The following is a 13,946-nucleotide window of genomic DNA, read 5'->3' as shown; positions in this document are numbered from 1 at the left end:
AGTGTTGGGTACGTGGGTTTAGATCTGAGTTTTTTCTTTGCTGTTTTTTCTGTTTGTTTGTTTGCTTTTGTTTTTGAGACGGAGTCTCACTCTGCCAGGCTGGAGTGGAGTGGTGCAATCTCGGCTTACTGCAACTTCTGCCTCCCGGGTTCAAATGATTCTCCTGCCTCAGCCTCCCAAGTAGCTGGGACTACAGGCATGTGCCACTATGCCCAGCTAATTTTTTTTTTTTTTGTATTTTTTTGTATTTTTAGTAGAGATGGAGTTTCACCATGTTGGCCAGGCTGATCTCAAACTCCTGACCTCAGGTAATCCTCCCTCCTTGGCCTCCCAAAGTATTGGGATTATAGGCGGGAGCCACTGCGCCAGGCCTAGATCTGAGTTTTAATTTGTTCTGCCACTCACTAGCTGAGTAGCCTTGGGCAAGTTTCTTAACTCTCAAAGCCTCCGTTCCTCATCTGCAAAATGGGCATCATAACTACCTCAGACACTCAACAAATAATTTGCTCTGTTCAAGTTACTGTGTTAGGTGTAGGTAATACCTTGGAATCAGGTATTTTGTATTTTTATTCCTTGTTAGATATTAAGCTTTGTGTGGTTGTTCCAGTTACCATTGTTGTGTAATAAATCACTCCAAAATTTAGTGGGCATGAAGAAATCATTTTATTATGCTCACAATTGTGTGAGTAAGGAATTCAAACAAGGCACACTGGGAAAGGCTTGTCCCTGTTCTATGATGACTGGGGCCTTGGCTAAGCTGGTTACCTCTCCATGTGATCTTTCCGCATGGGCTCCTATGGGTTTCCTCACAGTAGCTTTATGGGAGGCTGGATTCCAAGAGTGCGTGCCATAAGAGAACAAGGTGGAAATGCATGGCATTTTTGTCACCTAGCCTTACAAGGCACATAGCATCACTTCCACAGTACCCTGTAGGGGCAGATTCAAGGGAATGGAATATTAGGACCCCCACCCTCACCCCCAATGGGAGGTATGTTGAGGTCACATTGTAAGAAGGGCATATCTGCCACAGTGAACCAGGACTATTTCTGTCTTGTTCATGCTCAGGAATATTTGTTGAAAGAGGAAATGAATGATAAACATGATAATTGTGATTCCTGTCCTTTTTCAGCTTGCAGTCTGGTAAGATACCAAGACAAGTAAGCAGACAGTTACATGGCAGCATGATATGTGCTTTAAGCAGAGAAATACCAGGTAGCTGCAGGAGCACATAGAAGGGCAGCTTAGGGCAGTGGGGCTGGGTTGGGAGGATTCAATCAAAAAACAAAAGGCACTTAATATTGTGTCGGACACTTAGAAAATATTTAATAAACATTAACCAGTATTATTTCCCCCATGGAAATAATAATAATAATCCCTAAAAGGAATTAATACTATTTCAAACTTTTGTTTTATGTATCTCTTGGGTATGGATTCTTGGGAAGTAGATTATACCCCACTTACCCTACCTTCCAAAAAAGTGCTACCTGAGGCAATGGTTGCTGAAAGTCTTAATGAGATGGATTTCTTCCCAGATGTTTCCGGACGATGGCCTGGTGGTTTACAGAGAGGAGAGACTGAATGATCTCTACTGTTTTCATTAAGAAGAAGCAGCACAGTGATGTGGACTTAGCACTAAATAGAAATTAGAAGGCCCAGGCTGGGCACGGTGGCTCATGCCTGTTATCCCAGCACTTTGGGAGGCTGAGGCAGGTCAATCACCTGAGGTCAGGAGTTCAAGACCAGCCTGGCCAACATGGCGAAACCCCATCTCTACTAAAAAAAATACAAAAATTAGCCAGGCGTGGTGGCACACGCCTGTAATCCTAGCTACTCGGGAGGCTGAGGCAGGAGAATTGCTTGAACCTGGGAGGCGGAGGTTGCAGTGAGCCAAGATAGTGCCACTGCACTCCAGCCTGGGCAACAGAGTGATACTCTGTCTCAAAAAAAATAAATAAATAAATTAGGAGGCCTGGATTGTAATCCTGATCAGGCCATTTAGTTCTGGTCCTACGTGACAACCAATTAATCAATGAGAAAGTTGTACTAGAAGTACTTCCTAAGATCTCTTCCAGCTCTAACGTTCTATAGAGTTCCAAAATAATTACATTGTTCTCCATGGACTAAAAATTTGGAGTACATCACCCATGGGGAGAAGTAGTGACCAATATTTACTGTACATTTACTATCCTCCAGGTGCTGTTGTGTGCATTTTTCATGTATTGACTAAGCCTCATAATAACCCTATGAGATGGACAATGTTTTTATCATTATTCCCACTTAACAGATGAAAAAACCTCAAATGAGGCAAAGGAGTCCAGTGGACTAGCTGGAATACAAATCCCAGAGCCAGTGCCCTTAACCAGCATACCATTCCAGTCTCTCAGTGCAGAAACTCCTCTAAAGTTTAAAGGAGAAACTAGAAAGCTGTCATTGGGAGTGGTTCTTGTGCTCTTCTGCCTGAAACAAAAATGGATAACTTTGTCAAGTCTCTGGAATAAAAATTTGGCACTAACACATATGAAGTGTGTTTACCTCCCACACAGTGTTCTACTCACATTCACAACAGCCTATGGGATACATGTTTTTGTTAGCCATAGTTTGCATTTATGAAAATGGTAAGTGGCTGAACAAGAATTCTAATGCAGGTCTGTTTGACTGAGACAATCAGTATTTAGCCACTATGTTCTATGTCTCAGGTACAGTGTTCCCTGTTTCAGAGGCTTGGCTGCCAGCTCTGATGCTTGACCTTTTGTTATTTAGGTTTCATCAGCTAGGAGGGGGTGGATAATACTTTTCAGATGTCTTTAGCTTACATTCATTAAAACAATTTTTGGATGAAGGGATTGAAAATTCTGATTGAATGCTGTGTTTAGAAATGGTTGCTTTTCTTTTTTAAAAAATTAATGTTATAGGGTAAGAGTTGCTGATGTGGGAGACTTTACTTTGCAGATAACTGGCATAAATTAAGTGGCTATACAGGTGACACTTTAGGAAATTGGACTGCCTTCAGATGTTCCATGTTGGCACAGGTGGGAGTGTTAGTGGTGCTGGGGAATGGATGTTTTTAGTAACAAGGTAAACATTGTACCTTTTAAACATCTTTTTGAGAGGGAAACAAAAGGCCCAAGTTTTCCAGATCTGAAGTTGGTGTTCCCATTCTGCTTTGGTGAAGCTGCATTCGTTTGTTCATTTAATGTTTGCTAGAGAGACAGTAAAGTGTAGTGAATGGTTGTTAACTACAGACCCTGGAACCCAACCACCTAGATTCTAGTCCCAGCTCTGCCACTTAGTGGCAACATAACCTTGGGCAAGCTGTTTCAGTTCAGCTTCCTTATTTATAAAGGGATAATTAGAGTTTCTACCTCATAAAGTTGTTGTGAAGATTAAATAAGTTAACACATATAAAAGCATTTAAGTACCTGGCACATAATAAATTTCATGTGTTAGTCATTAATATTGTTACTATAATATAATTATTACATAAAATAAGCACTTAGGCTGGGTGCAGTGGCTCACGCCTATAATCCTAGCAGTTTGGGAGGCCAAGGCGGGCAGATTGCTTGAGGCCAGGAGTTCAAAACCAGCATGGGCAACATAGCAAGATCCTATCTCTACCAAAAAAAAAAAAATGCAATTGCTTAATAAGTGGTGGTGGTGATTATTACTATTATAAAAAATTCCAATGTAAATTTTAATATGAATTCTCAAGGAAATTTTGTACATGCAGTAGACTATTTTGTTGTTGTTGTTGAGACAGTCTTGCTCTGTTGCCTAGGCTGGAGTGCAGTGACGCAATCTCAGCTCACTGCAACCTTCCCCTCCTGGGTTCAAGCGATTCTCTTGCCTCAGCCTCCCAAGTAGTTGGGATTACAGGCACCTGCCACCATGCCTGGCTAATTTTTGTAGAGTAGAGACGGGGTTTCACTGTGTTGATCAGGCTGGTCTCAAACTCCTGACCTTGTGATCCACCCGCCTCAGCCTCCCAAAGGCTTGAGCCACCACGCCCAGCCACAGTGGACTATTTTCACGTTATACCTCTAGACTTACTCTAGGGATATTGCAGCAGAACAGCTTGGGAAGTACTGGGGTATTAGAAAAGAATGCTAATTAGGAGTCAGGAGACTTAAATTTTGGTTGTGGTCTACCTTGGAGTGTTGGATAACTTCTTTTCTAGGCCTCAGTAAAATAAGAGGGTTAGACTAAATCTCTAGTGTTGTGACTCTTTAAATTTATTAAAGTTAAATAAAAGTAAAAGTTGAGCTCAGCTGGATTGTCTACATTTCAATTGTTCTGTAGCCACATGTGGCTAGTGACTACCATATTGAACAGCTCATTGCAGTAAGTTCTACTTTACAGTGCTGTTCTAGGTCTCTATTAGTAATAACCTTACGTGATTGTAAGGTTTGACACCTAGCTTCTGAGTGGCCTAGGTACATGGAGAATTTATTTTAATTAATTAATTAATTATTATTTTTTTGAGACAGAGTCTCACTCTGTCACTCAGGCTGGAGTGCAGTGGCCCCATCTTGGCTCACTGCAACCCCTGCCTCCTGGGTTTAAGCGATTCTCCCACCTCAGCCTCCCAGATAGCTGGGATTATAGGTGTGCGCCACCACACCCAGCTAATTTTTAAATTTTTGGTAGAGATGGGGTTGGCCAGGCTGGTCTTGAACTCCTGAACTCAAGTGATCTGCCTGCCTCAGCCTCCCAAAGTAATGGGATTACAGGCATGAGCCACTGTGCCTGGCTGAGAAATTTTATTTAACCTTATATTAATCTAGCTTCCTTGACTCTATCTTGTTTGGCATTGGACTTCTGTAAGTCCTTCTGTTTTAGGCATGCTTTTTTTTTTTTTTTTTTAAAGAAAAGAAACAGGGTCACCCTCTGTTGCCCGAGCTAGAGTGCAGTGGTGCCATCATAGCTCACTGTATCCTCGAACTCCTGGCCTCAAGCAATCCTCTGACATCAGCCTCCTGAGTAGCTGGGACTATAGGCACATGCCACTGCATCCAGCTAATTTTTAAATTTTTTTGTAGAGGTGAGGTTTCTCTATGTTGCCCAGACTGGCCTCGAACTTCTAGCCTCAAGTGATCCTCCTGCCTTGGCCTCCCAAAATGCTGGGATTATAGGTGTGAGCCACCACAACTGGCTAGGTATGCTTTTATAAGCATCGTAGAGGTACTTTTTTCTTAAACCAAGTCTGACAATTTTTGTCTTTTCACTTTAATTGGCAAGTTTAGTCCACTTATATTTGTTGTGATTATTGACAGAACAGCTCTTGTTTCTGTTATCCAGTTTCTACTGTTTTTTTCTGTGCTTTTTTTTCTTTTTGCCCTTTCTTTGGGGGTTGAATATTTGCTTGTTCTTATTTTATCTCCTTTATTAGTTTGGAAGTTGGCATTCTAGTTCTTTTCTTTTAGTAGTAACTCTTGAAATTTTACTTGCATACTTAACAAAATCTAACACTATTATACCCCCAGTGGTAAGAGGGACTTTAGAACATTTAATTTCAATCACCCACTCTTCACTTATAAGGAGTTGTCTCATATTTAGTTCTAATTTTAATTTTTTTTTGAAACTTAGTTATTTATTTTTTAGAGATAGAGTCTCATCCTGTTGCCCAGACTGGCCTCAAACTCCGGGGCTCAAGCAATCCTCCTGACTCAACCTCCAGAGTAGCTGGGACTACAGGTGCACATTGTGCCTGGCTTAGTTCTCTCTCTCTTTCTTTTTTAACTCTACAAATCGGGCATTATAAATTGCTATACAGACAATATTTACATATTTATCTACATGTTTGCTGGTTTATTTGCTCACTATTCTTTGTATCTAGGCCTTCCTCTGGGATCATTTCCTACCTGAAATATGTCCTTTAGCTATCCTTTTTATTTTCTCTGATTCTCTCCTAGGGGACTATTTCATACTTCTTCCTGTCTTTTCAAATCTCCAATACTTCTTCCATAGTCCTTGCTCTCAGTTAGTAATTATAGTCCCTCTTTACCAGAAGACAGAAGGAATCGGAAGAGGCCTTTCAAAAATTTTCACTACTGCATTTACCCACTAGTGTTCATACATGCTCCCTTTCCTGTTGTTACCTGATAAACCATCATTATTCCTAGCAAAGGCTAATCCCTCTACTTGAGTGCTAAATCCCGTCTCCTCTCACCGACTCACCAATATTTTACCAGTGACTCTCCCTTCTAATGTTGTATTACCCCTTTTTCCTATCTTTATTGTATCATTTCTATCAGCTTTCAGTTGTCCCTGGTACAGCAAAATTCTTTTCTTTTAGAGACAGAGTCTCACTCTGTTACCCAGGCTGGAGTGCAGTGGCATGATCTTGGCTTACTGCAACCTTCGCCTCCCAAGTTCAAGCAATTCTCATGCTTCAGCTTCCTGAGTAGCTGGAATTACAGGTGTGTGCCACCATACCCGGCTAATATATATATATATATATATATATATATTTTTTTTTTTTTTAGTAGAGATGGGGTTTCACCATGTTGGCCAGGATGGTCTTGATCTCTTGACCTCGTGATCCGCCTGCCTTGGCCTCCCAAAGTGCTGGGATTACAGGCGTGAGCCACCGCGCCTGGCCTAATTTTTGTATTTTTAGTAGAGATGGGGTTTCACCATGTTAGGTTAGACCAGGCTGGTCTCGAACTCCTGACCTCAAGTGATCTGCCTGCCTTGGCCTCCAAAAGTGCTGGGATTACAGGCGTGAGCCACGACACCCAGTCAAAAATTTTTTGAAAGAGTTGTATGTATTCGATCTAATTTTTCTCCTTGGACTGTCTTGGTCATGCTCTAATCATGCTTTCATCCTCACTGTAAATGGCAGCTCCATCCTTCTACTTGTCCAGGCCAAAAACCTTAGAGTGATCCTTGACTTCTCTTTTTGCTCTCATATCCCATATCCATAGCAAAATCCTGCTAACTTTGCCTTTGAAATATATCCAGAACCTATTGGTATCTTACCCCTCTACCACCCCAGCTGGTCCAGTCCACTATCATCTCTTGCCTGGATTATTGTAGTAGCCCCTTTATTAGTCTCCTTGCTTTTGCCTTGCTCCCCTGTATTAGTTTGCTAAGGCTACAGTAAGAAAGTACCACAAACTGTGTCTTTTTTTTTTTCGAGACAGAATCTTGCTCTGTCACCCAGGCTGGAGTGCAGTGGGGCAATCACAGCTCACTACAGGCTCAATCGATCCTCCTGCCCCTGCCTCCCAAGTAGCTAGGACTATAGGCATGCACCACCACACCTGGCTAATTTTTCTATTTTTTATAGAGATGGGGTCTCACTATGTTGCCCAGGCTAGTCTCAAACTCCTGGGCTCAAATGATCCTCTCACCTCGGCCTCCCAGAGTGCTGGGATTACAGGCATGAGCCACCATCCACAGCCCAAACTGTGTCTTAACAGAAATTTATTGTCTCACAGTTCTGGAGGCTAGGAGTCCAAAATCACAGTGTCAGCAGGATTGTTTTTTCTGAGGGCTGTGAGGGAAGGATGGAAAAATCACTCAGCTTATCTAAAAATGTCTATTTTGCTCTTACTTTTGAAAGATAGTTTGTTACAATTGACGAACCAATATTGATACATTATTATTAACCAAAGTCCCTAGTTTACATTCGGGTTCATTCTTGGTGTTGTACATTCTATGTGTTTTGACAAATGTATAATAACATATGTATTCGTTTGCTAGGACTGCCATAACAAATACACAGACTAACCGGCTTAAACAATAGAAGTTTATTTTCTTACAGTTCTGGAGGCTAGAAGTCCAATATGAAGGTCTTGGTAGGGTTGGTTTCTTCTTGTGGATGGCTGTCTTCTATGTCTTCACATGATCTTCCCTTTAAGTTTGTCTGTGTCCTAATCTCCTCTTCTCATAAGGATAAGGGCCCACCGCAATGACCTCATTTTACCTCAGCTACCTCTTTAAAGACTTTAAGATATGAACTTTGGAGTGGGGTGGGGGACACAATTGAGGCCATTAACAGTATGTATCCACCATTACAGTTTCATATAGAATAGTTTCACTGTTACAAAAATATCCTGAGCTCCACTTATTCATCTCTCTCCCCCAGAATCCCTGTTAACCACTGATCTGTTACTATCTCCATAATTTTGCTTTTTCCAATGTCATGTAATTGGAATTATGTAGTATATAGCCTTTTCAAATTGCTCTTTCCACTTAGTATATGTTTAAGGTTCTTCAATGTCTTTTCGTGGCTTGATTACTCCTTTCCTTTTATCACTGCATATTCATTCACTTTGTATTTCAACAAAACTGTATTTTTAATTTCTAGAAGTTCTGTTTGATGACTTCACAGATTTGACTTTCTTTTTTTTTTTTTGAGACAGAGTCTTGCTCTGTCACCCAGGCTGGAGTGTGGTGGCGTGATCTCAACTCACTGTAAACTCTGCCTGCCAGGTTCAAGCAATTCTCCTACTTCAGCCTCCCAAGTAGCTGGGACTATTGGCTTGCACCACGGCACCTGGCTAACTTTTTTGTATTGTAGTAGAGACAGGGTTTCACCATGTTGCCCAGGATGGTCTCGAACTCCTGAGCTCAGGCAATCCATCCACGTCGGCCTCCCAAAGTGCTAGGATTACAGACATGAGCCACCACACCTGGCCAGATTTGACTATTTATTTTGCATGCTGCATGCCTGTTTTTGTGATTCCATGTGTTATTTCTTTAAACATTTCATGCATAGCTATTTCTGTATTTTGTGGCTGATAATTCTAATATCTGAATTCCTCAGGGATCAAAATCTGTTTGTTGCTTGTGTTCTTGTGGCGACTTCTTTTCTCACATTTTTGGTGATCCATGATTGTGAGCTCATAATGGTTGTTCTTCTTCATTGGCTATCCTGGAAGCCTAAAGTGGAGAATCTTTTCCTCCAGAAAGTTTTGGCATTTGATTCATCTGAAAACCAGGGGGTACCACTCACGTGGAATCACTTTAGTCTCTTTTGAGGGTTGTGTTAATGTGGGAGTTTCAGATTCATCTCCATTTTGCCACATCATAATGGACGCTTGCGTTCAGGGCAGCCTCACTTGCTTGTTGCTCATAGGTTTTAGCTTGCTTTGTGTTTATGGAGGGTTCTGTCATTACTGAGTCTAGTGAGCACATTCTGAAAGTCCATTTTATCTAGGATTTCATTGTTTTGTAGGTGTATATCCCTTCAGACTGTCTGGTTGGGCATCTTGCCAAAGCAGGATTCAGTTGCCTGAGTTTAGATATTGACCAATAGAGTGATGGTGATCATGTTAGACACCTTGCAGTTCTCCTGGGCATCCTCTCAATTTCATTCTCAATCACTCACTCTTCAGAGTCAAATCTTGAGCCTTAGGCAAGTGACAGCATCCCATGCTGTTGGGAATGAAAAGTGAGGATGGTTAGTTTCGATACTGCCTGCATGTGCTCATCTGGATGACCTTTTGTTTCCCTGTGGTAGCACTGATGAAAATTAGATTTGAATTTATTTCTGAGAAAGAAAAATCTGAAAGATGAGTGTAGTAAACCAGAATGGCACACGATTGCAATTTAAATCTCAGCTTGGCCATTTAGCAGTTATGTGACCAGTACAGGTGATGTAACTTCTCTGAGCCTCAGAAGTCTCAATCGTATAGAATAACAAAAGCTACTACTTACTGATCATTTATAATATGCTAAGCACTATGCTAAGTTTTTTGCATATATTTCTTATTTAATATTCAGTAACCTTATGAGATATAATTATTTTATGCCTCTTTTAAAGATGAGAAAACAAGCATACAGAGATTAAGTAAAACTGGGTTATTAATAAGGCCAAATTTAAATGAGATAACACATGTGGTATGTCAGGCACATATAAGGTGGTCAGTAAACAGCAGCTAGCATTATGATCACTAATAATTTTTGGATATAAAATTCTTTTTGTGATATGATCTAAATAAGATTCATTTGCTCAACAAATATTTTATGGAGCACTTACTGTGGCCATGTGTACTGCTAAATGCTAAGGAAACAGAGAGGAATAAGAAAGATATGGTCCAGAGATGGACACATAAACATTTACAAGTCAGCCTGGGGAGTGCTGTGATGGGGTAAGAATAGGGTGCTTTGGGAGTCAGGGAAGATATACCAGAAGAAATGCCCTCTAGGCTTATACCTGAAGAATGAGTTGGAGGTGAGGGACGGAAGGAATTGCACAGGTAGTAGTGATTGTGAAAGCCTGGAGGGGAGAGAGTGCGTGCTACTCTCATTTAAAGAAGTGAAAGGGCCGGGTGCGGTGGCTCATGCCTGTAATCCCAGCACTTTGGAAGGCTGAGGAGGCTGGCAGATCACCTGAGCTCAGGAGTTCGAGACCAGGCTGGCCAACATGGCGAAACCCTCTCTCTACTAAAAATACAAAAATTACAGTCCGGGCACAGTGGCTCATGCCTGTAATCCCAGCAGTTTGGGAGGCTGAGGCGGGCAGATCACCTGAGGTCGGGAGTTCAAGACCAGCCTGACCAATATGGAGAAACCCTGTCTTTACAAAAAATACAGAATTAGCCAGGCTTGGTGGCACATGCCTGTAATCCCAGCTACTTGGGAGACTGAGGCAGGAGAATCGCTTGAACCCAGGAGGTGGAGGTTGCGGTGAGCCGAGATCATGCCATTGCACTCCAGCCTGGGCAACAAGAGCAAAACTCCATCTCCAAAAAAAAAAATTAGCCAGTCGTGGTGGCAGGCGCTTGTAATTCCAGCTACTCAGGAGGCTGAGGCAAAAGAATCGCTTGAACCTGGGAGGTGGAGGTTGCAGTGAGCCAAGATCATACCACTTTATTCTAGCCTGGGTGACAGAGAGACTCTATCTCAAAAAAAAAAAAAAAAGTGAAAGTATAGTATAGGGTGTATATATAAGATTTTAGGAAAAATGTGGAAAGTGAGGCTGGAGAGGTGGGCAGGTGCCATATTCTGAAAGGCTTTGTAAACCCTACTGCAAGAGTTGGACCTTTATCTTTAGGGCATTGGAAAGCCTTTGAAAGTTTTTTTGTTTTTGTTTTTTGTTTTTTTCCTGGAGTAACATGATTTAGAAAGACCATTCTGTGCTATTCTACAAAACATGTTCAAGAGTTTCAAAAAATAAAATAGGAAGATTACTCTGGGTGAATTGTGGGAATAATAATAACAATAGCTTTAAATACTTACTTCATTTAATCCTTATACTAACACTTGGAGGTAGGTCTTATTGTCTTGCTTTTACAGATGAAGGAGGAAAATAAGAAAGAAATTGGGACTTGGAGAGCTTACTTCACTCACAAGAATTCACACACGTAATAGGAAGTGGAGTCATGGACCTAGGTCTTTCTGAATCTAAAGCTGTATTGCTGAATCACCTTCAATTGGTTATGATTTGTTATGACCTGCTTTATGTTTACTCTGTGGGAAATTCTCGTTCATTCTTACAGTATTATTAGCATATTCCGTGATAGTTTACAAAGCATTTAACGTCATTTTTAAATTTAGCCTCCTTTGAAACTGTGAATTAGGTGGTGGTGTCTCCATTTTGCAGGTATGAAAACTGAGGCTTGAGGTATGGTCCCATACACCTAGAAGGTGGTGGAGCTGGGACTTGAACACCAAGCTCTTGACAGAAGAAAACCTTCTTAGTGGGTATCTTGTGAACATGCACACTTCCTTCTTGGGACTGTGCCCTTTGTTCATTATGTGAATGCTTATAAAGTTCTTTCCTTCCAGGTTTTGGAGATCATATTCATTGGAGGACACTGGAAGATGGGAAGAAAGAAGCAGCTGCCAGGTACAAGACATGGTTTTAGGTCATTTATGGTGGTAAAACACTTTTCAGCTATCAACTTAACGTTAATTTCAGGTGAAGGGCTATACCAAGGCAGAGCAAGAACTGAATAGTTGCCTAATTACAACAACAGCAATAATAATGGCTAACATTTATAGTTGAGCCTTGAACAACATGGGTTTTTTTTCTTTTTTTTTTTTTCTTTTTGAGATGGAGTCTCACTCTCTCGCCCAGGCTGGAGTGCAGTGGCACGATCTCGGCTCACTGCAAGCTCCACCTCCTGGGCTCACGCCATTCTCCTGCCTCAGCCTCCCGAGTAGCTGGGACTACAGGCACCCGCCACCACGCCTGGCTAATTTTTTTGTATTTTTAGTAGAGACGGGGTTTCACCGTGTTAGCCAGGATGGTCTCAATCTCCTGATCTCATGATCCACCCGCCTCGGCCTCCCAAAGTGCTGGGATTACAGGCGTGAGCCACCGCGCCCGGCCTTTTTTTTTCTTTTTTGAGACAGAGTCTTGCTTTGTCACCCAGGCGGGAGTGCAGTGGTGCGATCTTCATTCATTGCAACCTCCACCTCCCAGGTTCAAGCAATTCTTGTCAAGCCTCAGCCTCCCACGTAGCTGAGATTACAGGCATGTGCCACCATTGCCGGCTAATTTTTGTAGTTTTTAGTAGAGACGGGGTTTCACCATGTTGGCCAGGCTGGTCTTGAGCTCCCAACCTCAGGCGATCCACCTGCCTCGGCCTCCCAAAGTGCTGGGATTACAGATGTGAGCCACCACGCCCGGCCAAACAACATGGGTTTGAACTGCACAGGTCCACTTATATGTGGATTTTTTTCAGTAATAAATGCATTGGAAACTGTTTTGGAGATTTCAAGCAGTTTCAAAAAACTTGCAGATGAACAGCATAGCCTAGAAATATCAAAAAACTTAAAAAATTGGTATGTTACAAGTGTAAAAATATATGTAGGTATTAGTCTATATTATCATTTACTACCATAAAACATACAGAAATCTACAAGTTAAAATTTATCAAAACTTCTGCACACTGGCTGGGTGCGGTGGCTCATGCCTGTAATCCCAGCACTTTGGTAGGTTGAGGCGGGCAGATCACTTGAGCCCAGGAGGTTGAGACCAATCTGGGCAACATGGTGAAACCCCTTCTCTACAAAAAATACCAGTTACTTGAGGGGGCTGAGGTGGGAGGATCAATTGAGCCTGGGAGTTTGAGGCTGCAGTGAGCTAAGACCATGCCACTGTACTGCAGCCTGGAAACAGAGTGAGACCCTGTCTAAAAAGCTTCTGGCCAGGCATGGTGGCTCACGCTTGTAATCTCAGCACTTTGGGAGGCTGAGGCGGGCAGATTACCTGAGGTCGGGAGTTCAAGACCACCCTGGCCAACATGGTAAAACCCCGTCTCTACTAAAAATACAAAAATTACCTGGGCATGGTGGTGTGCACCTGTAGTCTCAGCTACTAGGGGAGGCTGAAGCAAGAGAATCACTTGAACCCGGGAGGTGGAGGTTGCAGTGCGCTGAGATTGCACCACTGTACTCCAGCCTGGGAGACAAAGCGAGACTCTGTCTTAAAAAACAAAAATAAAAAATAAAAATAAAAATAAAAAAATAAAAAACTTCTGCACACAAACACCTATAGACCACACATGCTGCCATTTGCAGAAGGGAGAAATGTAAACAAATGTAAAGATGCCATATTAAATCATAACTGCATAAAAATTAACTGTAGTATATAACATTACTAATAATTTTGTGGCCACCTCCTGTTGCTATGGAGGTGAACTCAAGTATTGTGAGTATCCACTTAAAATGCCGTGCAACATTAATCATCTTCAGTGAGCAGTACGTCTCTCCAGTGTATTGCGTATCGCAGTATAACGTAGTTTCTCAGCTGGGCGCGGTGGCTCACACCTGTAATCCCAGCACTTTAGGAGGCCGAGGTGGGTGGATCACTTGAGGTCAGGAGTTCGAGACCAGCCTAGCCAACATGGTGAAACCCTGTCTCTACTAAAAATACAAAAAACTTAGCTGGGCATGGTGGGCGCATGCCTGTAATCCCAGCTACTTGGGAGGCTGAGGCAGGAGAATCGCTTGAACCTGGGAGACGGAGTTGCAGTAAGCCAAGATCACGC

The 13,946-nt window shown here is 42.1% G+C and overlaps 1 protein-coding gene and 1 long non-coding RNA gene across 4 annotated transcripts in view; one reads left to right on the top strand and one right to left on the bottom strand.

Moving 5' to 3' along the window:
* TXNDC12 (thioredoxin domain containing 12) overlaps positions 1–13,946 on the top strand; it is a 36,041-nt gene that overhangs the window by 2,838 nt on the left and 19,257 nt on the right. For all 3 annotated transcript variants that reach the window (NR_046406.1, NR_046405.1, NM_015913.4), the window contains exon 2: positions 11,737–11,797. Coding sequence is in view for 1 of the 3 variants with exons in the window: in NM_015913.4 (NP_056997.1) it covers positions 11,737–11,797 (61 nt within the window). In the remaining 2 variants the exon portion in view is untranslated. The remainder of the gene's footprint in view (positions 1–11,736; positions 11,798–13,946) is intronic.
* TXNDC12-AS1 (TXNDC12 antisense RNA 1) lies at positions 651–2,416 on the bottom strand. The gene is made up of 3 exons (NR_126385.1): positions 2,369–2,416; positions 1,485–1,550; positions 651–927 (listed from the first exon to the last, which is right to left on the bottom strand). It is a non-coding gene; the product is annotated as a TXNDC12 antisense RNA 1 (long non-coding RNA).

This window comes from Homo sapiens, chromosome 1, assembly GCF_000001405.40.
Source record: "Homo sapiens chromosome 1, GRCh38.p14 Primary Assembly".
In the NCBI taxonomy this organism is placed as follows: Eukaryota; Metazoa; Chordata; class Mammalia; order Primates; family Hominidae; genus Homo; species Homo sapiens.
This window is presented reverse-complemented; position numbering and strand designations above follow the sequence as displayed.